This window comes from Homo sapiens, chromosome 2 (assembly GCF_000001405.40).
Source record: "Homo sapiens chromosome 2, GRCh38.p14 Primary Assembly".
Taxonomy (NCBI): Eukaryota; Metazoa; Chordata; class Mammalia; order Primates; family Hominidae; genus Homo; species Homo sapiens.
Window position 1 is genome coordinate 73,004,014 of NC_000002.12, and position 22,098 is coordinate 73,026,111.

At 44.1% G+C, this 22,098-nt stretch overlaps 1 protein-coding gene and 1 long non-coding RNA gene across 22 annotated transcripts in view; both read right to left on the reverse strand.

Moving 5' to 3' along the window:
• SFXN5 (sideroflexin 5) overlaps positions 1–22,098 on the reverse strand; it is a 129,677-nt gene that overhangs the window by 61,978 nt on the left and 45,601 nt on the right. For all 21 annotated transcript variants that reach the window (NR_138476.2, NM_001371739.1, NM_001371738.1 and 18 more), the window contains 3 exons: positions 19,175–19,201; positions 18,509–18,563; positions 16,226–16,251 (listed from right to left, as the gene is read on the reverse strand). Coding sequence is in view for 18 of the 21 variants with exons in the window: in NM_001371739.1 (NP_001358668.1) it covers positions 16,226–16,251; positions 18,509–18,563; positions 19,175–19,201 (108 nt within the window). In the remaining 3 variants the exon portion in view is untranslated. The remainder of the gene's footprint in view (positions 1–16,225; positions 16,252–18,508; positions 18,564–19,174; positions 19,202–22,098) is intronic.
• Positions 378–16,219, reverse strand: LOC107985897 (uncharacterized). Its single transcript, XR_001739535.2, has 2 exons — positions 5,170–16,219; positions 378–1,717 (listed from the first exon to the last, which is right to left on the reverse strand). It is a non-coding gene; the product is annotated as an uncharacterized LOC107985897 (long non-coding RNA).

A 22,098-nucleotide genomic window follows, 5' to 3' on the forward strand; every position in this document is an offset into this window, starting at 1 on the left:
ACCCTGGGGATCAAAGCAGAGATTACTTTTGATATTTTGCAAACGGGACAACTGAGGCTTAGAGAAATTCAGTAATCTGTCCATAGCTTCATAGCAAGCTAGAGAATCAGGTCTCCTGGTTCCTGGCTTGGGGGCCCGGACTCTGATTTTAGGGTACTCCTTCTCCAGCTCATCCCCTTGAGCGCAGAGAGAGGGGAGATCCAATCAGCACTCTGCATCCATTTATGAGGAGCTGCTTCTACGTACCAAGTTCCTTGCTGCTCCCAATGGAGAAAGCCAGAGGAGAGGAATGAGTGCGCGCGCACACACACACACACACACACACACACACACACACACTCCTTAACCACAATAAAAACAAAAACCAGACAAGAAAATGGAGGATGACATCCTTTATAACACCGAGGCTTGAAAATGACAAGATGGTTTAATGAGGTATTTGGTTATGTGTAAAGTTGATAAATTTTAACATCCAAACAGGAGTTTAGGAAGGGAGGGGTGAGTGTGTCCCGGCTATCTAACGAAGGCGGAGGTAGGAGTGAGCCGAGGGGGCGCCGACACAGGAGCAGGGACAGCCGAGACAGCAGAGAGACTGGTCTGACTGCAGAGGAGGTCTGGGAGACCAGAGGGAGTGTGGAGAGGGTGAGGTTAGAAGACAGGAACACCGAGCTGCATCGGCCAAATGGAGCCTTAGGGGGCCATGTGAGGCTGAGGCAGGGAAGCAGGGATCCTGCCCTCCAGGTCCTTACAGTCAGGCGGGGACCAAAAGCACGAGGATGCCAGCCCAATTCCCTATTAGGCAAAACGCAGCACCATCTGCACAATCCCAGGAGCAAGAGCAGATATTTTATAACTTCCTTTTTTCTTTTTAAGTCTAAATTAAAAATAAATGTTCCCTTCAGCTCTCAGATGTATATCTCTGGTGCAACCTGCCCACATTCCCTCCCGCTGCCCTTTCCAGAACATGGCAGGGGAAAGGAAGAAAGAGATGGATAGAGAGAGGGAGCCAGTCCACCCAGCTTCAATGCCAGTGGATTGCACCTCTTCCAAGAGGGAAACGATTCAGGCGTGGCCACGCAGACGGGTGGAGAGCGCCCAGAATGTGGCTGGTACCAAGGAAAGTGGAAGGAGAGGGAAACAGGAGCCAACAGCTATGATTTCTAGCCCAGCCTCCACCCTATCGCGCTGCAGGACCTTGGCCAAATCACACATCCTATCTCTGCTCCCATTTATAGTTCATAACATGGCTGAAGTCCCCTCTGCCGCTCCAGCCCCCTGGCAGCTGTGCTCTCTGCACATCCGTCTGTACCTTTGCTGCTCCCCTTCATTTTGGGTGTCCTACCATGGACCTAGTGATTAACGCTCAGGCTCTGGTTGTCAAATGCTGGTGCCAGCATTTACCAGCTATGTGACCACAGGCAAGTCACTGGAGCTCTTTGTGCCTCTGTTTCTTCACCTGTTAAGTGAAGGACAATCCCAGTACCTCTCAGGATGGTTATGAGAGGAAGTAAGGTGTGGAGGAAATTCGCCTCAGCATGCAGCCTGCAGCAAGCGCTCCCTGGATGCCGGTTGCCAGTGCCATTCTTCTCCTCCCATGTAGTTCTTTCCTGGCCTTTGCTGGTTTCTTTCTCTGAGCTCCATAGTCAGCATTACACCACTGAACATCGTCTCATCTCCATCTCGGGAACACAAGTCTTATCCCTCAGAGAACAGAGCTCTGGAAGGCAAAATTGGGGCTTTTCCCTCTTCTTCTGATGCCCCCGCCATGGCATTCAGCACAAAGCTGGGCCCACACCCCAGGGTGGAATAACACTCCTAATTATTAGATAATTATTGGCCAGGGAAAGATCTCTGCTGGACTGGGACAATGCACTCCTGACTCCTTTTATTAAGTCCTAATTGCAGGGGGTGGGGGTGGGAGATTGAGTCTTTGGTCCAGATTATTTCCCACTCCCTGCACCCATACCCTTGCCACGGCCTCATCACAGAAGGAATTTATTTCCTCACTTTTTGGCTCTGCTTGGTCATCTAACTTGCTCTGACTGACAGCACGTGGGAGGACGTGGCAGCGTGTCAGTTCTGAGCCCTGGCTCAGAGGCCTCATGCCTTCCTGCTTGCCCTGCTGAGCATCTGAGGTTGCCACGAGAAGACATCCCTGACAAATCCCTGGTCCAAGGAGGAGGACAGACAGGAGAGACAGGAGGGTACAGTCCATCCCAGGTCAGGTCACCCTCAGTTGACCATAGTGAGATGCAGAACTGCCTCAGTCAAGCTTTGTCTAGACCGGGCAAACCCCAGCCAACCGCAGATCCCTAAGAATGAATGCTTACAGGCACGGTGGCTCACGCCTGCAATCCCAGCACTTTGGGAAGCCAAGGCAGGCGGATCACCTGAGGTCAGGAGTTCGAGACCAGCCTGGCCAACGTGGCGAAACCCCATCTCTAGTAAAAATGCAAAAACTAGCTGAGGGTGGTGGCAGGTGACTATAATCCCAGCTACTTGGGAGGCTGAGGCACACGAACTGCTTAAACCCAGGAGAAGGAGGTTGCAGTGAGCCGAGATCACACCACTGCACTCCAGCCTGGGCGACAGAGCCCAAAGAGCGAGATTATCTCAAAAAAAAAAAAAATGCTCACGTATGCCACTGAAGTGTTGTGGATGTTTTCTACACAACACTATGGTAGCAATAGCTAGCTAATACACAGCTTACTACATATGCGGAGTGACTATGCTGTTCTTTCTAGTCCAAAATTCTGTACCATTATGAATATGCCTTGAATTAAGTCTTCACCAGGGATGCTGGCTCCTAAGCAGCCCTGCTTATCAAACCCACCCAATCCAGGGGCCATCAGCCCATCTCTAGGGCTGCCCTGACAGGCCCAGGAAGAGGGGCAGTTTGTGCTTGAGCCTAGTCTCAAGACAGAGTAAGGAATGGGGCCAATGGCACCCATATGGTAACTTGCTACAAGAAAAATCACATCTTCACTTTGGGCCTCCTCCTTCAGAGTATTCTAACTGCTGCAGAGAGATGAGGTCTCAATCTGGGAGAGAGGCACCCCCAAATATCTCAGTCTGCTTGGCCAGAAGTGGAACATGAACAGCTGAAGATAAAGGCAGGAGGGGTAAGGCCACTGCCACAGTTCTGTGTACGATGATATCAGGACTCAGAACTGAGCAAGCCCCCACCCCCTTGGCCACCTCCCATACAAAACTGACTCAAACTACAGGAGAAAGGTTTTTTTAAAAGCGTGGGAAACCTGGAGAGGAAATGGGGTATGCGTCAAAACAATTGGGTGGTAAAACTGAAGCCAGGGGAAGACTAGGGCGAACTGTCTTGTTCGCCAAGATAATGGAAATAATCATCCCTCTCACCCTTCACCCCATTTCTGCTTGGCTAATCCCTCCCTCCTCATCCTTCAGGTTTCAGTTTAGGCGTCACTTCCTCCAGGATGTCTCCTCTGACCCTCACAGTGAGGTTAGGTCTGTCACGCGCTCTCCGGCACCCTGCATGCCTTCTCTGTACCATTCACCTCATCAGCAAAAAGCTGTGGAAAGTTTATCTTCCTCGAGAGCTTCTATAAGCTTCAGAGAAATGAGGCCCCTCCACGCTGCCTCCCCACATACCCGGGAGCCTCCCAGGTAGAGCAAGTGTCTTTACATCTCATCCCCTTCCGCCACACTGACTCGCTCAACTCCAAAATGTTCCTCTTTGTCATCCACCATGGGCCGCAGTACCCCAACACACAACAATTGTCCTGTTTTTTCCTTCTACTGTGTCTCCATCTTCTGATTTATGTGGCTAATGATCTGAAAGTTACACTTCAGTGTATAAGGGGTGTTGCTACTTAAAGGATGTCAGCCAGTTAAAGAAAATCTCTGTCAAATGAATGTTTACCCCAGACCGGTCAATTCTAGCTTCACTGGAGCGACACCTCCTGTGTGGTGAGCTAGGTCAACATGGCTGGGGTCTGGTAATGCTGGAGGAAGGCCAGGGAGAACATTGGGATTGGGATTTAAATGTGCAAAAAAGCAGAGGAGGGATGAGGCGGCTTGGGAGATGTCAGGAGGGCCCTGGGAAACACCCCTGGAGATGAAGTGGCCGACACCAGCATCTTCTGATACTTAGAGTCTCTAAGCCCATGTGATCACCTGTGTGTTAAAATGAAGGAGTGCAAAGTACAGAGTCCAAGTTCTTAATGTCTCAAGACAGAAATCGGATTTAGACTTAACCTAAGGCCACCAGACCCAATAACTAGGTGTTCATGGTCTGCCCTCCTTAGCACCCTGGGCTGGAAATGAGGCATTTGGTCCCTAAGTTTTGAGAGTTCGACATGACATGGAGCGGGGAGAAGGAGAGGGGAGGGAAGCAGTGCTGTGGGGAGCTCAGGGCTGAGAGAGGCACAAATGCTCTCTGGGAGAGCCCCAGGCCCATGAGGGAAACCCAGGCCCTGGCATCCGAGGCATTCCGCAGCAGCCAAGGGAAGAGGGCGCAGGAGCAGAGGAGAAATGGAGAGGGCAGGCAGGACGAGGGCCGGACCACCAGGGCCAAGCCGGGCCCTGCCTCTCCCAGGCCACGTGCATGGAAGCGGCAGTGCTGTGCTTAGGGGAAACCTGGGAAGGGAGAGGCCGTGTATAAGAAGCAACCACGCTGGCGGGTTTTTTCTGGAAAGATACCTGAAGAAAGGGAGTGACGAACCGCAGAGCCTCAGGGACAGCCTCAGTGCACCGGCATAGCCGCGGTGCTTATGTATAAATTGGGATCTCTTTGCCACACACCGAAGGGGGAAAAAGTTCCCATCTTCAAATGTTAAGCTTAAAATAAGACACTACATGGTTGCCAGTGGATCTGTGAAATCTGCTGACTAAACTGGCACCAGCCTCTGGGAGAAAACCAGCTCGTTTCTCCTGAGCTCTGGGGGGCGAGCAGGGTAGGGCGAGGTGACTCCCGGGCAAAGTGGAAACAGCGTAGGGGTCAAGCTGGGGATGTGCACCTGGGCAGAAGGCAGCTTGACTGTGGTTTCCAGAAGCTTCTCAGTTGAGGCACCTGCCAGCCTTACTCGCCCCTTCCCTTCATCACTCAGGGACCCAGTTCCTAGCACATTCGCTGGCACCCTCGTTTCTATTTTGGTAAGCATTTTTAGTGGCTTCTGCATGCGTATATTTTCTTACCCACTCCATCAGACCAGGGGCTTTCCTAAGGTGTGGACTGGAACCTTCACTCCCCTTCAGACCAGGCATTTGCTTAAATGTTCAGTGCTACCAGGCGACAGCAGGGCCTTGGAGAAGCTGATGGGGCTGCAGGAAGCACTGGAGCAGCCAGCATGCTCTTTCCACACAAGACGAGGCAGTGGCCCAGGGGTGGGGAGGAGTGGTGACGGACCATGTTGCTTGTCCATGTGAAAGTGCCAAGGTGGGAGGCCCAGGTTCTTCAAATCCAGTGGTTCCTCTGGAGACTCAGCCTCTGGCTTGACTGTTCTGAACCTCAGGATACAGATATCTGGGGCTAGGAAGTGGGGATAGGTGAGCATTGTCATTTCAGTTCTGGCTGCCTCGTAGAGCTGCTGGGAGGTATCCCAGGCCATGCTCCCCATTTCGCCTCCATCAAGTATTCACACAGGATCTTGGGGGCCAGGGCATCCTCTTCTTACACCACATGCGTTTATTCACAGAAGGATGCTTGCTCCAGGCTGGGAAAGGATCGGTCCTGTTAGGACATTCACAGCATCTGCTTCAGCAATGAACCCCTGAATGGCAGGGGAGTGGATCAGCATCCAAGTCTCCCACCTGCCTACAGGGCCATAGTGACCCTGCAATGATGGGCTTGTCTAGGGTAGGGTAAGGAGAGAGTGGAAACGTATGGGGTGAGCCTCAGTAACTCCTTGTGAATGGAAGACAGTGCTGGCATCTGCTGGGTTGGCCAGTTCTTCCCACTTGATGGCAGCTGATAATTGTGTAAGGGTCCATTTGGCTTCTCAGGGAAAAATGAGCCCCACATTCAACTTTTGCCATTTCAAATACCCAGTTACCCAGTTTAACAAAGTGATGATACCACCAAATTGTATATCTTTTAAAGTGTTGATGGAATATTTATAAAAGTTATTATGGCATTCTTGTTTGCCTATCACCATTCTTCCCTTCTTTCTTACTAATAGAATCCTTATATAATTGGGGATCAACTATATACCCAGCTAAATTCTAAATGAAATGTATATACCCAGCTAAATTCTGAATGAAATATATGCAGAACATGGAATGTTGCATGGAAATTCCCAAAAGGCTCCTTAAAGAGAGGCTGTATCTTAAAGATAAATGTATTTCGGTTGGGAGATATAGCCTACTATTCTTCTTTTCTTTCTCCTCTCTGGAATGTGAATGTGATGGCTGGAACTCCAGCAGCCATCTCGGGCTATGGGGTGACTTTTTACAATAGAAGCCAGTACTGAAAATGGTGGTGTAGAAAAATGGAAGTCTGGGTTCCTGATGATATTGTGGGGGTCCTCCTTATCTCCAAACTTCTTTGACATAAGAGAGAAATAAACTATTTTGTTTAAGCCACTGTTATTTTGGACTTTGTTACATGCAGATGACCCTGATCCTAACTGACATATTCAGATACCATGCTACAAAGAAAACCACAATAAATCCCAAATGGCAAAATTTGGCAAAATTGTAGAGGTCACTTTCTCTGAAAATAAGATAAGCTAGAACATAACAAAAGAACACATTTTTTAAAACCCAACCACTTAGAATTTAAAATGTGTTCTTCTAATTGACTAAAGAGGATTTGAAATTATAATTCCAAGCTTATTTAGAAAATAACAACATAAGATCACTATATATGAAAACATATCAGATATAGCCATGTTTTAGATATATTCAGAGGCAAATTCACAGCACTAAACACTTTCATTAGAAGGAAAATAAATAAACTAAGCATTCAAGGCAAAAAGTAAGAAAACCAACCACAAACAAAGAAAGGAGGGAAAAAGGATATTATAAAAACAAAAGCATAAAAGAATAATTAGAATACAGAATTGATAAATACATCCAAGAGCTGATTCCACGACATAGCTTTCACAAATCAATCAATTGTGCAGTGGCACAATCAAAACTCACTGAAGCCTCAAACTCCTCAGCTCAAGTAATCCTCCCACCTCAGCCTCCTGAGTAACTGAGACCACAGGCGCACACCACCATGCCTGGCTAATTTTTAAACTTTTTTGTAGAGATGGGATCTCCCTATGTTGCCCAGACTGGTCTCAAACTCCTGGGCTCAAGCAATCCTCCCACCTTGGCCTCCCAAAGTACTGGGATTACACGTGTGAGCCACCACTCCTGGCCTCAGTTATTTTAATAAAGGAGATGGAGGTGTGGAGTGGAAAAAGACTCAAATCAATCAAAAGAGAGATCATTATATTTAAAGACATCAATATTTAAAACTTTTCTATAACAAAGACACCAGAGAATAAGGGAGAAACAGCTGGAGAAGAGACGTGCCATATATATAATCCAAAGGATTAATGTCCAAAATACATAAAGAGCTCTTACAAATCAACTAGAAAAATATGGCCCATGGAAGAATGGACAAAGAGTGTGAACAGGTAATTCAGAGAAGGGGGAATACAAATCACCAATAAATAGATTTAAAAAGCACCAACATCTTTTTGGTGTTTATGGAAACAAAAATTTAAAGTATAATGAGAATCTACCCCTTCTCCCATCAGATTGGCAAAAACGTTAAAAAGATGAATGAATACTAGTGTTACAAAAGCATGGAGAAATATAGTCTTTTTGAAGGGAAATTCAGCCATATCTGTTAAAGATGTAAATGTGTGTAGCTTTTTATGCAGCAAATTCACTTTCTGGAAGTGCCCTTGAGAAACCCTTATCCTTGTGCAAAAATGGCTTTACAAAGATTTTTCACAGCACAATCGTTTCTAATAGCAAATAATCGGACATAACCTCAACCCATCACACTGGAGGAGAGGGTGCCATTCAGCAGAGAAAACAAACAAATAAATAAATGAAGCCAATTGTTATGGAGGCAAACTGCTAAGTGTCATAAGCTAACCATAGATAAATAAGTATATTGTTATATTTTAATGGAAAACTCCACAAAACAAAAAAACACTTTAAATGACTTAAATGTATGCAGATATCTAGAAAAAGCCTAGAGGCACACACCAAACTTCTTACAGGGGTTACTCTGGGCAGAGATTCGGGGTTGAGGAGCATCACAAGGACCTCTACTTTTGGTTGTATTGTTTAAATTCTGAGCTGAGAGAACATTCATGTATTACTTGTATAACTTTTAAAATATTCTTTATAAAACATTCTTGGTGGTATTTTTGAATCCCAAAGAACATATTCATGTATTACTTGTATAATTTTATAAAATATACAGAGAAGATTTTTTTTTAAATCCTAGGAGATATTTCTGAACTCCAAAGATAAAGAGAAAAAATATCAAACGATTCCAGGGGAAGGGGGAAGTTTACCTAGAAAGGAAAAGAAAATCAGGCCAACTATTGTTCATGTATGAAAGAGAAAAAAAGATCTCCAGATATGCAAAGATTCAGAAAGGCATATTACCCCTATATTCTGAATATTGTTCTAAAGGGTATTCTAGCCAAACAACACACACACACACACACACACACACACACACACACACACACACACACACACACAGCCTAAATAATTGTTAAGTATAATACAGGTGTTAAGAAAGGCTTTATAAATCTGATGAAATTCCAGATGATTTCCAAAAACTTGGCAGGTGTGTGGAGGGAGGTAAAATGATCAAGTAGAGAGTAGAGTGAAATTACATGCTACAGGTCTCCTCCTATGTGGGTAGCGTTAGGTAAGTCATATTTATTATTTGACTCTTGATTATAAAGTATATATAATGCAACCTCTCTGTACTATAAAATATGACAGATGAATGGTAAGTAGAGAAAATTAGGATGCTCCCCTTCCAAACTAAAGAAACTAAAGGACTTATCCTCTAGTATAAATCAGGAGAAGAAGTGGAAACAATAACAAAGCTTAATAAAAAGCTAACAGCCACAAGAAAACCCATTTGACAGCTGGGATATGCAGTCATAACCATCAGTGGCAGAATAAATACGAATGGGTTCCATTTCTCATTAAAATTAAAGGCAGTGTTTCTCAAACTGAGTTAAATGTAAGTAGCCTTTTTATGCAGCAAAAGTAGAATTCAGCTATATTTTGTCCAAAAGAGATGTGTAATACAAAATGGCACAGAAATTAAATGACTCTGACATAAAGGTACAGGCAATGATATATAATGCAAGTCATTTAAGCAAAACAGGAATAAAAAAATTAAGAGAAAATTCAAGGCAAGAATAATCAATGAAACAGGGATATTTCGTGTGTGTGTGTGTGTGTGTGTGTGTGTGTGTGTGTGTTTGAGAGATAGAGATGATATCAAGAAGACAAAACTGTCTGAACACACCAAACACCATTGCATTGAAATCTATAAGACAACCGCAAGAAATGCAAAGAAATGAAACACACACTTGCACATACACACAATTATGGTGGGAAATTTATAAACCTTTCTCAGAATATTTCAGAACAATGTAGTAGTTTCAGGGCAACGACATAAAAATAGAGATGTGAATAATACCTCTCTCGATATATTTATATATTTTTAAATATATGTATAAAATGAAATATTTCAAGGATACAGAAAAGTCTAGAGGATAACGAGCATCCATATATGTCCAATCTTATTTCGTCAATTTTTTTGTGAAGATGTTTTTAAAAGATGAAACACTATAAATACAAATGAAGCACCCCCTGTTCTCCTGCTAAATTTCATTGCTTTCTCTCCCCAGAGGTAAACAGTATCACGAAGCCGGTGCTTATTGTTCCCATGGATGTTTTTAAGGATGCATTAAAAATGTACTCATAAACTATATATAATATTGCTTTGCATATTTTTTAACATTATATAAATGACAGAGAGCATTACTACTCTGCTACTATTTTTTCATTCAACATTGTTTTTGAGATTTATCCATATTCATAAATGTCGCCCTTGCTCATTGTTTTCTTTCCTGTGTTAAGTATTCCACTGCGTGACTAAGCCATGACTGATTCATTTTCTTGTTGATGGAATTTCAGCGGTTTCCAATTTTTTGCTATCATAAACATTGCTGCAAATATTTTCTTTTCATATTTAAATGTCCTTTTGCATATAAGGTGATGTAGAGATCTGACTTTCTTTCTTTTCCACATAGGTAGCCAGCTGTCCCAGCACCATATAATACTATTAGATGGTTTGTCCTTTTTCTCCACTGATTTGTAATGCCACCTTAGTCAAATCTTAAATTTCCATATGGGCATGTCTCCAGGTTCTCTGTTCTGTTCCACTGACATATTTGCTTATCACTGTACCAAAACCAAGTTGTCTTATAATATTTGGTAGGGTGAGTCCTCTCCCACCACCTTATTCTTGAAAATTGTCTTCACTATTCTTATCCCCTAGCTTGTATTCATGTAACTTTTCATAGCAACCTGTCAAGTTCCATAACAAATCCTGATGAGATTATGACTGAAATTACATTGAATATAGATTTTAATTTGAAGAAAACAAAATGATACAGCTCTCCACTTATTTAGATCTCCAATGTCCTTCAATAAAGTTGTATATGTTTCTCTATTAAGGTCTTGAATATTGTTTCTTGAATTTATTTTTATATCCCTTATTGTCTAAAATACTATTGTAAATGACATCTTTTATAAAAATCATATTCTAGATGTTTGTTTTAGGTTTATAGGCATACAAAATTTTTTTGTATACTTGTCTTACATCCAGAAATCTTTTAAAATAGTTCCAATAGTTTGTCTATTCTCATAAATGTTTTTCTTTCTTTCTTTCCAACTCTAATACCATTGTTTATTTTTTCATGTCTTACTGCACTTGCTAGTCTTCCAGGAAAATGTTAGATAGAAGCAACATTATCAGTCATTCTTACCCTGTCCAACACATTAAGAATTTACCTTTGTTTCATCTTTAAGACAGGTGCTTGCTATGGTTGGTTTAAATCATTTTTTATAGACACTATCAAGTTAAGAAAGTTCCTTCTAGACCTAATCTGTTGTTTTTATCATAATAATTACCGTAAATTGAGTTATGTTTTATTTTATCAAATACTTTTTCTGTATTTACTGGGGAAATCATGTTTCTCCTTCAGTTTCTCAGTGTGATCAACTAATATTAATACATTCTCTAATGTTATCATATTTGGTAAAAAGCATTTCGTTATGATGTACTTTGATGCATTGCTGGAATCAGATTGCTATTATTTTATTTCATAATTTTTACATGTAATTTCATAAGTGATATTGGCTTATACTTTTTCTTTCTTATACTTACTTTGGTATTGGTCTCAAAGTGCCTCATAAATGAACTGGGAAGATTTCCTTTTTTTCCTCTCTCTTTTTTGTTTTTTTTCAATAGAGACAAGGTCTTGCTATGTTGCCCAGGCTGGTCTCAAACTCCTGGGCTCAAGCGATTCCCCTGCCTTGGCCTCTCAAAGTGCTGGGATAAGAGGCATGAACCACTATGCCTGGCACTTTTTTTGCTTTTGAAAGCTTTATAAAATTAAGTTCAGCTCTTCCTTTGGGAACAGTCACCTGGAAGATCAGAGCCCAGTGATAATTTTGGGTTTGTTTGTTCTTTGGTGCAAATATTTTAAACTGCAAATTAAATTTCCTTTTATTTATAGGTCTATTCAGATTTTAAGGCCAGGTGTGATGGCTCATGCCTGTAATCCCAACACTTTGGGAGGCTGAGGCAGGAGGGATCACTTGATCCCAGGAATTTGAGGCTGCAGTGGGCCATGATCGCATCACTGCACTCCAGCCTGGGAGACAGAGTGATACCTTGTCTCCAAAAAAGAAAAAAAAAAAAAAGACTCTATATTTCGTCTTTCTAGGCAGTTTTGGTAAGCTGTATTTTCCCAGAAATGTATTCATTTCTTCTAAGTCTTTAAATGTATTGCCTTGAGTTGTTCAATGCATTCTGATCTTTTATTCTGCTACTGCATCTATAATTATTGTACTTCTTATTGCTAATGCTGTTTATTTGTATCTTCTCTCTTTTGTCTTGATCAATCTTTCTAGAAATGTCTATTTAATTAGTCCTTCTATAGAACCTAGGAATTTACCCTGAAGATATATTCCAACAATATCACAAGATTACCATTTTGGCATTATTCATGATGGCAAAGTATTACAAATAATCTAATGTAAGAAATTATCTAAATAAATCATGGTACTTCCACTTAGTAGAATACTATATAGCTGTAAAAAAGTAATAATGAGGAAGATCTCTATAAATCGATATACAGTGATTTTCAAGATATATCAAGTGGAAGAGCTGGGGCAGTGGCTCACACCTGTAATCCCAACACTTTGGGAGGCTGAGGCGAGTGGATCACTTGAGGCCAGGAGTTCAAGACTAGCCTGGCCAACATGGCGAAACCCCATCTCTACTAAAAACACAAAAATTAGCCAGGTGTGGAGGTGCATGCCTGTAATCCCAGCTATTCAGAAGGCTGAGGCAGGAGAATCGCTTGAACCTGGCATCCGAGGCTGCAGTGAGCAGAGATCATGCCACTGCGCTCCAGCCTGGGAGACAGAGTGAGACTCTGTCTAAAACAAACAAACAAACAAACAATGAAACCACAAAAAACAGATATACTGAGCGAAAAAAACATTGTGCAAAAGGGTGTACGGATGCTTCTCAACTTATGATGTGGTTACGCCTGATAAACCCATCATAAATTGAACATATCGTAAGTTGAAAATGGGCATTTTGTTGACATGATGGGATGCGGAACATAGAAGGCAATATTCAAAAAAACACTGGCAACAGAGTACATTGTAGTATGGGTTGTTTACCCCCGTGATCACATGGCTGACTGGGAGCTGCACTGCCCAGCATGGTGAAAGTATCATATCACATTTCTCTAGCCTAGGAAAGGATCAAAATTCAAAACTGCAAGTATTGTTTTCAGTGAATGTATACTGCTGTCACATATGATAAAGTCAAATAATTGTAAATTGAACCATCGTACGTCAGACACATCGGTATATAGTATACTACATTTTATATAAGAAAAAAGGGGGAAAGCAGATATTTGTATCTGTTTATTCTTACAAAAAAAATAAGAAGGAGAAGTTGTTTACCTCAGAGGATGGGTGAGAAGGAGGTAGCAGGGATAGGAAGCGGAGTGGAACTTTTATGAGTGTATCTTTTTAATAGCTTTGACTTTTAAACTATTCCCCTCTCCTAAATATCAAAAAAAGTAAATTAATAAGAATGGAGAAACAACTAAAATGGAATGCCAACAGAAATCAGTTAAACCTAACTGTGTATCAAGTAGATAACATAAACACATAAGAAAAAAATTAATTCAAGAAACTTTTGAACATGGTTCTCTGTGTACTCTCAATAGGATACTTTCTAAGGACAAAAAGAACTTCAAAGAAATCTTGGGCTTTAGTTACTACGTATTTTGAGAGTGGTATTGATGTAGCAATTCTGAAAACTCTTATTTGTATGTATAAGATTTAGCAAGTGAGTACATATACTGTTGGAGTCTCATTCAGGGAGAAGGGACATTCAAATATGAAACGGGAGAACAAATGAACATCGAGATGTTTGATGGGAATTACAGGTATCAGTATAAACTCATGAATTTTTACAAGTTGTATCTCCTAGCTCTGTCCCCCAAGAGTACCTAGAAGCAATGCCACTCCAGTAACCATGAGTACACCCAGCATCAAGATCTTGGTTTCTAAGTATCATTTCCCTCTAAAAGGAAATAGGGCTCCTTGGAGAAATCAATTATTCTAGGATGGGGGTGAAGAGAGTACTGTACAGACAAATCTACTGTAATCTCAGCACTTTAGGAGGCTGAGGTGGGAAGACTGCTTTCAGTTAGGAGTTCAAGACAAGCCTGGGCAACATAATGAGACTCTATCTCTATAAAAAAATTTTTGAGAAGTTAGCTGGGCATTGTGGCACATGTCTGTAGCCCTAGCTACTCGGGAGGCTGAGGCAAGAGGATCACTTGAGCCCAGGAGTTTGAGGCTCCAGTGAGCCATGATCCTGCCACTGCACTCCAGCCTGGGTGACAGTGAGACAAAATAAAAGAAAAAAGAAAGAAAAAGGAAGGAAGGAAGGAAAACAGAAAAGGAAGAAAAGGAAAGGAGAAAGGAAAAGAAAAAAAAAAGAGAAAGAGAAAAGATGAACCTAGAATATCCTGTTGTGTCAGAGAGTACTGAAGCTCTCAAAGACTAGCGGGGCATGTCAAATAGAGAAACTGCTTTAAGGTTGGGTCAAAAGTGGCCCCATTTGCATATCAAAATAAATAATGACAAGAGTACATTTTTACCCACTGAATAAAAAAAACCACAAAGACTGTATTAACAGTATCTAAATACTGATAGTTTTAAGAAAACATTAAAGAAAGAGGCAGAAGGGAAACTCGAGAGGATGCCAACTAATTAACATAGAAGGAATAGTATCTATGATATCCATAGGAAAATTTGAGACTATGCAAATATTCTGTTCTCAATTAGTTTTTTACCCAATAGTTTTAACATCTGTTGGTCATTCTTGTCTGCTTCCAGTTTTAGACTAATGTGAAAAATGCTACTATAAACATTCACATACAGATCTTTGTGTAAACAAACATATTCATTTATCTTGGATAAATACCTAAAATAGTGTTATGTGGTCATATAGTAAGTGCATCTTCAGCTTTATAAGAAACTGCAATACAGTTTACACACCACCTGCTGCAACCCAGGATCCATTCTCAGATCACACATTGCATTTATTATAGTTGTTACCTGTTTTAATTTAGCTTCCTAGGTCTATATCCAAGAGGAATGAGGGCATATATCCACTAAAAGACTTGTACAAGTATGTTCAAAACAGCACTATTTGTTGTAAACCCAAAACTAGAAAAACCCAAATGTTCACCAACAGTAGTATGAATAAAGAAATTCTGATAATTTATGACAATGGAATATTATACAGCAAACAGAAAAGAACAAACGAATGTTACAGATAACAATATGAACAAATCTCACAATGTGGAGTAAAAGAAGCCAGACACAAAAGAGCACATGTTGATGATTACATTTATATCAAGTTCAATAACAAGCAAAACTAAAATATAAAAGTCAGAAAAGTGATTTTCTGTCGGGGTGGTGATTGGGAAGGACACATGTGAGGTTTCTGAGATGCTAATGATGCTCTGAATCTTTATCTAAGTGAGCTGGCCGAAGTAGCTCAGTTGGGAGGGTGTTATACTGATTCCTTACCTAAGTGATGTTTACTGGATATGCTTGCTTTTCTTTTTTTTTTTTCTTTTTTTTTTTTTTTGAGACCGAGTCTCGCTCTGTTGCCCAGCCTGGAGTGCACTGGCGCGATCTCGGCTCACTGAAAGCTCCGCCTCCCGGGTTCATGTCATTCTCCTGCCTCAGCCTTCCGAGTAGCTGGGACTACAGGTGCCCGCCACCACTCTCAGCTAATTTTTTGTATTTTTAGTAGAGACGGGGTTTCACTGTGTTGGCCAGGATGGTCTCGATCTTCTGACCTCATGATCTGCCTGCCTTGGCCTCCCAAAGTGCTGGGATTACAGGCGTGAGCCACCGCGCCCAGCCCTGGATATGCTTGCTTTTTGAAAATTTACCAAGCTGTACATTTATGATGAATGCACCTTTCTGTATGTTTTATTCCAATAAAAATAAGGAGTAAACATAATCCTGATTCTAAAACTGAACAAAAAGAATGCTGAAAATTCTTTCTGAATTAATTTTAAACTTTGATTTTTCAGAAGGCATGCTTCTACTCCTACTTCCCAAGTTCTTTGAGAAAACTTCCCTATGACTAGCAGGTGCTAATGACAACAGTGGGGACAGAAAACGTGCAGGGAAGAAGGCAATTTTCAACTCAACGCTGGATTTAAGTCATCAGGCTTTTTATGAAAAGAGGTTTGCCAATCAGCATCAAGAGATGTGGTAAGAAATACATATCATTTTATTTGGTAATTTCCCTCCAGGAATTGACTTATCCTAAATCAACAATTCAGTCAAATACCCGTGAGCAATAACATAAAGTTAGACATTTAAAATAATTTTTTAGAAAAGGAAATCCTTTGAAGGTAACACTTACAATTGGCGTCCCAAAAGGAATATAACCTGTGAACGAGAAGAAAAGAGTCAGGCCTTATAATCCACTCACATCTCACCTGAGATACCCAGGAGCCTCCGGGTTAGGTCTTAGGCTATCAGTGGCCCTGATGAAGGGGCTCAGGTCAGTTAGGCGGGAGGCATCTCCTATCTCATAGACCCTTTCCCAGTTCAGCCCTCACCGGGGCTGTGTCCCCAGCCTCCTCTTCTCTGCTCCCCTTTGGCCAGGCAGCTTTCACTCTCCCCTGGAACCCAGAGGCCTGTTCCTGCAGGCAGGGCTGCCTGCGACCTGGGGCACCACCACTCCACACTTGGTGATCCTCCTACGATTTCCTGCGAGGCACGACACACCCTGCCCACGCTCACTACATGAGGCTGAACATCCTCCAAGGACCCCAGAATGTCTTCCTTCTTGCCTCAGCTTGTCTTTCTAACACAGGCCCTTACTTCCCCGGCATCATGGCCATTTCTGGAAAGAAAATTCCCTCCCAAACTGAGCCATGCACCTCTAAGTGCCAGAGCTTCTTAAATCCGTGGCATCCCCAGTGGCGCAGTAGGGAGCTGGGGTGAAGCGCAGCCAGGCTGTGAGTACAGCCTCCTCGCTGCTCTCAGCCCCCAGGCGAGGCTCTCTCCACAGCCCCAACTGCTGTCAGTGGACAGCCTCCTGTCCCCAACCTCTAACCGTGGCAGCCAGTGAGCAGTGGCTGGACAGCGGGATCGGGCTTATCTGACTTGCATCTAAAGTAAAGCTTTGCTCCTGAGTGCACATAATCACACACACACGTGAGCCATGGTTCTCATACCCACTTCTCTCTGGGGAGAGAACCAGAGTTTGATCAGGGCCTCAGAGGAATGCATGACTCAAAAAGGTCAAGAATTACAAGAGAAGCCAGGCTCAGGGTGAGAGCCTGCTGTGCCGGGTGCAGGGACTGGGAAGCATCTACAACCACAACTGTAAGATGCTCAGAGCCCTTCCCAGCACTTTGGGAGGCCAAAGCAGGCGGATCACTTGAGGTCAGGAGTTCTAGACCAGCCTGGCCAACATGATGAAACCCCATCTCTACTAAAAAATACAAAAATTAGCCAGGTGTGGTAGTGTGTGCCTGCAGTCCCAGCTACTCGGGAGGCTGAGGCAGGAGAATCGCTTGAATCTGGGAGGTGGAGGTTGCAATGAGCAGAGATCATGCTACTGCACTCCAGCCTGGGCAAAAGAGGGAGACTCTGTCTCAAATAAAAAGAAAGAAAAATGCTCAGAGCCTTAAAGTTCTTCACGGCAAAGCCAGGGGGTCACAGGGCACTCACTGCCCCAGTTTACACAATGACATCACATGTCCATCAACTTCCTGGTTGTTTATTTTCTTGCCCTCAGTGAGGCCAGGCTCTCTGGGGGTGGCGACCCTGAGGGACCCATTTGACTGAGACCGCCTTTCTCCAGCCACCCGAGGCCTTCCCAAGGCAGCAGCAGCAGTGCCCTCCCATTCCACCCTCATAATTCAAGGTGGCTGTGCCCCATTGCACTGAGAAATGGCAAGAAGGAGGCGTCAGCACACCCATGAGTGTGACTCTGCAGAGTCTCTCACAACTGCTGGGGGGATAAGCATGCCAGCCTAGCTCGTGTACATGCCAGTGCTTTCTAAGCCCTAAAGCCCACATAGGCACAGCTGCCCCTTCAGTGACCAGTGGGATTTCCTGGGGCAGGGATCTTGTATCACCCTCTGCCTCCTGGTCTCCACAGAACAGGAATCCCACCTTCTGTATGTGCACAGCAGTGCAACAACAGTGCATCCATTCTGAAGGGAGGGCTAATGGCAGGATCAGAGAACAGAGAATTAGGCTGGAGACTGACTGCCTAAAAGGGGCAGGGCAGGGAGCAGGACTTGGAAGGAAACAGCAGGTCACACACCGGTGAGAGGGGGAATGACTTGCAGAAGCCAGGGCTTGCTTACAGCAGGCATCACTGAGGCTGTCCTAGTGTGCGCTGAGTGATGTGGAGTGGGTGGTGGTGGGGGCTACCAGATTCACCTGTGGAAGCCCTGGTTCCACCCCAACTGCTCAGGCAGAAAAGGCAGGTAAGCTCCATAGAGTATTCTGAGGCCTGGCCAGCGCCTTGTACAGTTGAGCTGAGGTGAATGTAGAGGTGCAAATATGGCCATGATTGTAACAGGCTCTGTCCCCTCCTTAGGCCAGCACATCTGGATGCTCCTGGAACTGTGACTGGAGTAAGCACCCCAGGCTGACCAGAACCAGAAGGGCCCCAGGAGCTTACCTGACATTCTAAATGGCATGAAGATCTTCTCATTGGTGTCCGGATGTAGAATAGCCTGGCAAAAGCAGGAACAGAGAATGGGGTGGGGACGGGGGTGTAGGGAGGGGGAAGGGGGAAGGGGGAGGGAGGAGGGAGAAAAGCAGAGGCATTAGGGGAGGAAGAAGGGAAGAAGACAACTTCTCTGGGAAGATTCAGATACCAGTGGCTGTATGTTGCCTTGTGGCCAGTTAGGCCTTTCCACCACTCAAGGCAAAAGAATACCAAACCATGGGCCATAAACAGATAGCACCACTCCTCCTGACTTACCCTAAAAGCTGAATGCAGTGGAGAGCAAAAGTCCATGGGGAACGGGATCGTGTCTACCTTGCAGGCCCTCTACCCCCATTCCTGGCACATGGTAGGTACATAATAAGGATTTTGTGGACAGAGCCCTGTCTCTTCTGGGAGCTCAGAGAACCCAGGGAAAGGCCAGCCTGGCCTGAGCTCCAGACTTCAGAGACTCTGGCCCTTGAGTGTCGGGGCAGAAGGAAGGGGTGAGGGGGCCAAGGGCAAATGTGAGAGCCCGAAGAGCCACCGGAGGGGGGCTTCCACTAGATCCCTGGGACAGGGCAGGGTGGAGTCCAGGACAACACGGAGAAGGAAATAGAGAATCCAAAACTGGATTACCTGCTTGATTTTCTGTGCACTCCAGAGCTGGAAGAGAGATAAAGGAAAAGAAAATAAAGAACAAAAATTAAAAGCATATATCGGTTTAAGGCTTCCAACCCATGTTTTCTAACCAAGGGATCCAGCTCCGAAAGCCCGAAAGAAGCTCGGGCTATCCTTGCCAGCCCAGGCTGGGCAGCTGTCCTATCCTGGGGGGGGTGACATCAGAGAGTAAGGGCCAGAGAGGTCCCAGAATGGCAGAGCTAGGGGACCTTGCGCATCAATTAAGCCAGGAATTCTCAACTATGTCTGCACTTTAGAATTCCTTGGAGAATTTTTTCAGCATTTTCCTAAAGCTCCCTAGTTGACTCTAAGTCATAAGCAGGTAGAAACCTCTAATTTAAATGAAGATACTTCAATTGTCTCCCAGAATCACTAGTGACAGCATAATATAATTTTTTCAGAGATAGCCTGGATTCCCTGCTGTGCCACTTCTACCTCTGAGCCTCAGTTTCCTCATCTGTGGAATGGGCATGATAGCCATGCCTCTGACACAGAGTCGTTTAAGGGGTGAATGGGAAGCTCTCAGAGCAATGTCAGCACAATAGCATGTGCTTATAAGTGCTTACTGTTGCTGACATTATGCCTGTTGTTATCATAAGAAGGCTGTAGGGAGAAAAAGTTCCTTTCAAATGCTGATGAGGCTGTCTCTTTCCAGCACAGAGACAGGCTGGAGAAACGGAGTAACTTGTCAATCCCTTCAAATGACCTAAATACTGTATTGCATTGAATCTAAGACACCACTGATCCTAAGATATACTATCATGTGCCGCATACGAAAGAAAACTATGACTGTAATACCAAGACCCCCATCAATTAAAAGACTCATTTCATTTTACAGATGTGATAAAGTAGGCCTTTTTTTTTTTTCACTGCAACCTCTGTCTCCCGGGTTCAAGCGATTCTCCCGCCTCAGCCTCCTGAGTAGCTGGGATTACAGGCGCGCACCACCATGCCCAGCTAATTTTTGTATTTTTAGTAGAGACGGGGTTTCACCATGTTGGTAAGGCTGGTCTTGAACTCCTGACCTCGTGATCTGCCCACCTCGGCCTCCCAAGGTGCTGAGATTACAGGTGTGAGCCACCATGCCCAGCCCAGGCCTTTTCAAATCAAGGAAACATGGCAAATAAAAATTTACACTGTCGGGGGGCCAGGCACAGTGGCTCACACCTGTAGTCCCAACACTTTAGGAGGCCAAAGCAGGAGGATTGCTGAGCCCAGGATCAGTCCACCCTGGGCAACAAAGGGAGACCCCATCTCTACAAAAAATCTTAAAAATTAGCAGGGCGTGGTGGAATGTGCCTGCAGACCCAGCTATTCAGTGGGCTGAGGTGGGAGGAACACTTGTGCCCAGGAGGTAGAGGCTGCAGTGAACCATGATTGTGCCACAGCACGCCAGCTTGGATGACAGCGTGAGAACCTGTCTCCAAAAAAGAAAAAAAAAGGACACCATGGGCAAACCAAAGGCCAGTATATTTTTTTAATGGAGAAAGAAGGCTATGCGGCTAGAAGGAAGATACAGCCAGCAGCTGATGTTAAAGTTTTATAATAGAATGGTTGTTATGCTTCATGTATATGGCAATGTTGGTCATCTGGAACATAAATTAAGCTGCAGAAGTTAAGAAGGCTACTGGGTAGTAAAAATAGAAGTTATAAAATTGATACATTAAAGTTTATGCATTTTTCTCACAGCTGAGTCCCTCAAACCTTACTTCACAGCCTAATTAACTCTTATTTTAGACACATTTCCAACACACTTGATTGTCTGCTATTCCAGACCCAGGCAGATTAGAAGCAGTCGATGTTTAAAAAATAATAATTGGGGAACAGAGGGGACTGATGAGTGAAAAGCCAAAAGCAGAATCACTGCTAGCACAAAGGTTAAGTGAGGGCCTAACAGCAAAGAGGTTATTTAAAAACAACAACAACAACAAAAAAAAACATAAAAGGCTGATCGTCCCCTCTTTGCTCAGTAAGCACCTTCCTGAAGTGCACCCTCAAGTCTGGGCTCTGTCCCTGGTGCGACCCCAGGCCCTGTACACAGACTCCTGACACCCCACACCCTCCACCCCAGTCGTAACCTTCTGCATCCTCCCACCTCTGGATTCACAGTCAGGCCACTCACAGGCAGGAACTGGCTTTTCAGCACTATCTCCTAGCACATTCCATCCCCCCAGGGCCTGGAACACAGTAGGTGCTCAATACGTGCTTAATGAAGGAATATCATCTTCTAAAACAGAAGTATACCTAGACTTAAGTTGACTTCTGGTAAGGCACGGTGAAGCCAATGCACAGTGTCATCTCCTTTTCTTCCCAAATCCTCGAGAAAAGAACAGCAAAGGAATAAACCAGCTGAAAACCCTCTCGGGGAGGAAGGGGACGTGACAGCAGGCAGAAGATGTCACACATCTTTGAAAGGTGGTGAGCTGATGAAGAGATGAGCGGTTGGCAATGCTGCAGAGGGTGGAAGGACACCCCACATGCTCAGTGGGAGTGAGTGGGCTCAGCCCAACTAGAGCTCCAGACACCAGGAAGGTGCAGGCGGCATGGCCAGAGATCAGGGAGAGACGTTGAAAATGTCCCTGTGCACAAAGTAGGGAGGCCCAAAGTCCCCATCCAGGTGATGGAGGTTTATTCTCCAGAGAAGCTAAATCACAACAGCCCAGACATGGTCACAGGCACAGGGGGACCAGGCAAGGGTCTGAGTGCTGAGGCTCTAAAGGAGCCCGTCTGCATCCAGCTCTGAGGACACCACAGGCAGGAGGATGGAGACACCTTCTCCAGGAAAACAGAAAGGCTCCCAGAGAAATGACCCACAAGAGGGCTGGATTCGTGGACAGGCCATCAGCGCAATGCTGAGAAGGAGGTCCCATTCCAGTGGTCTA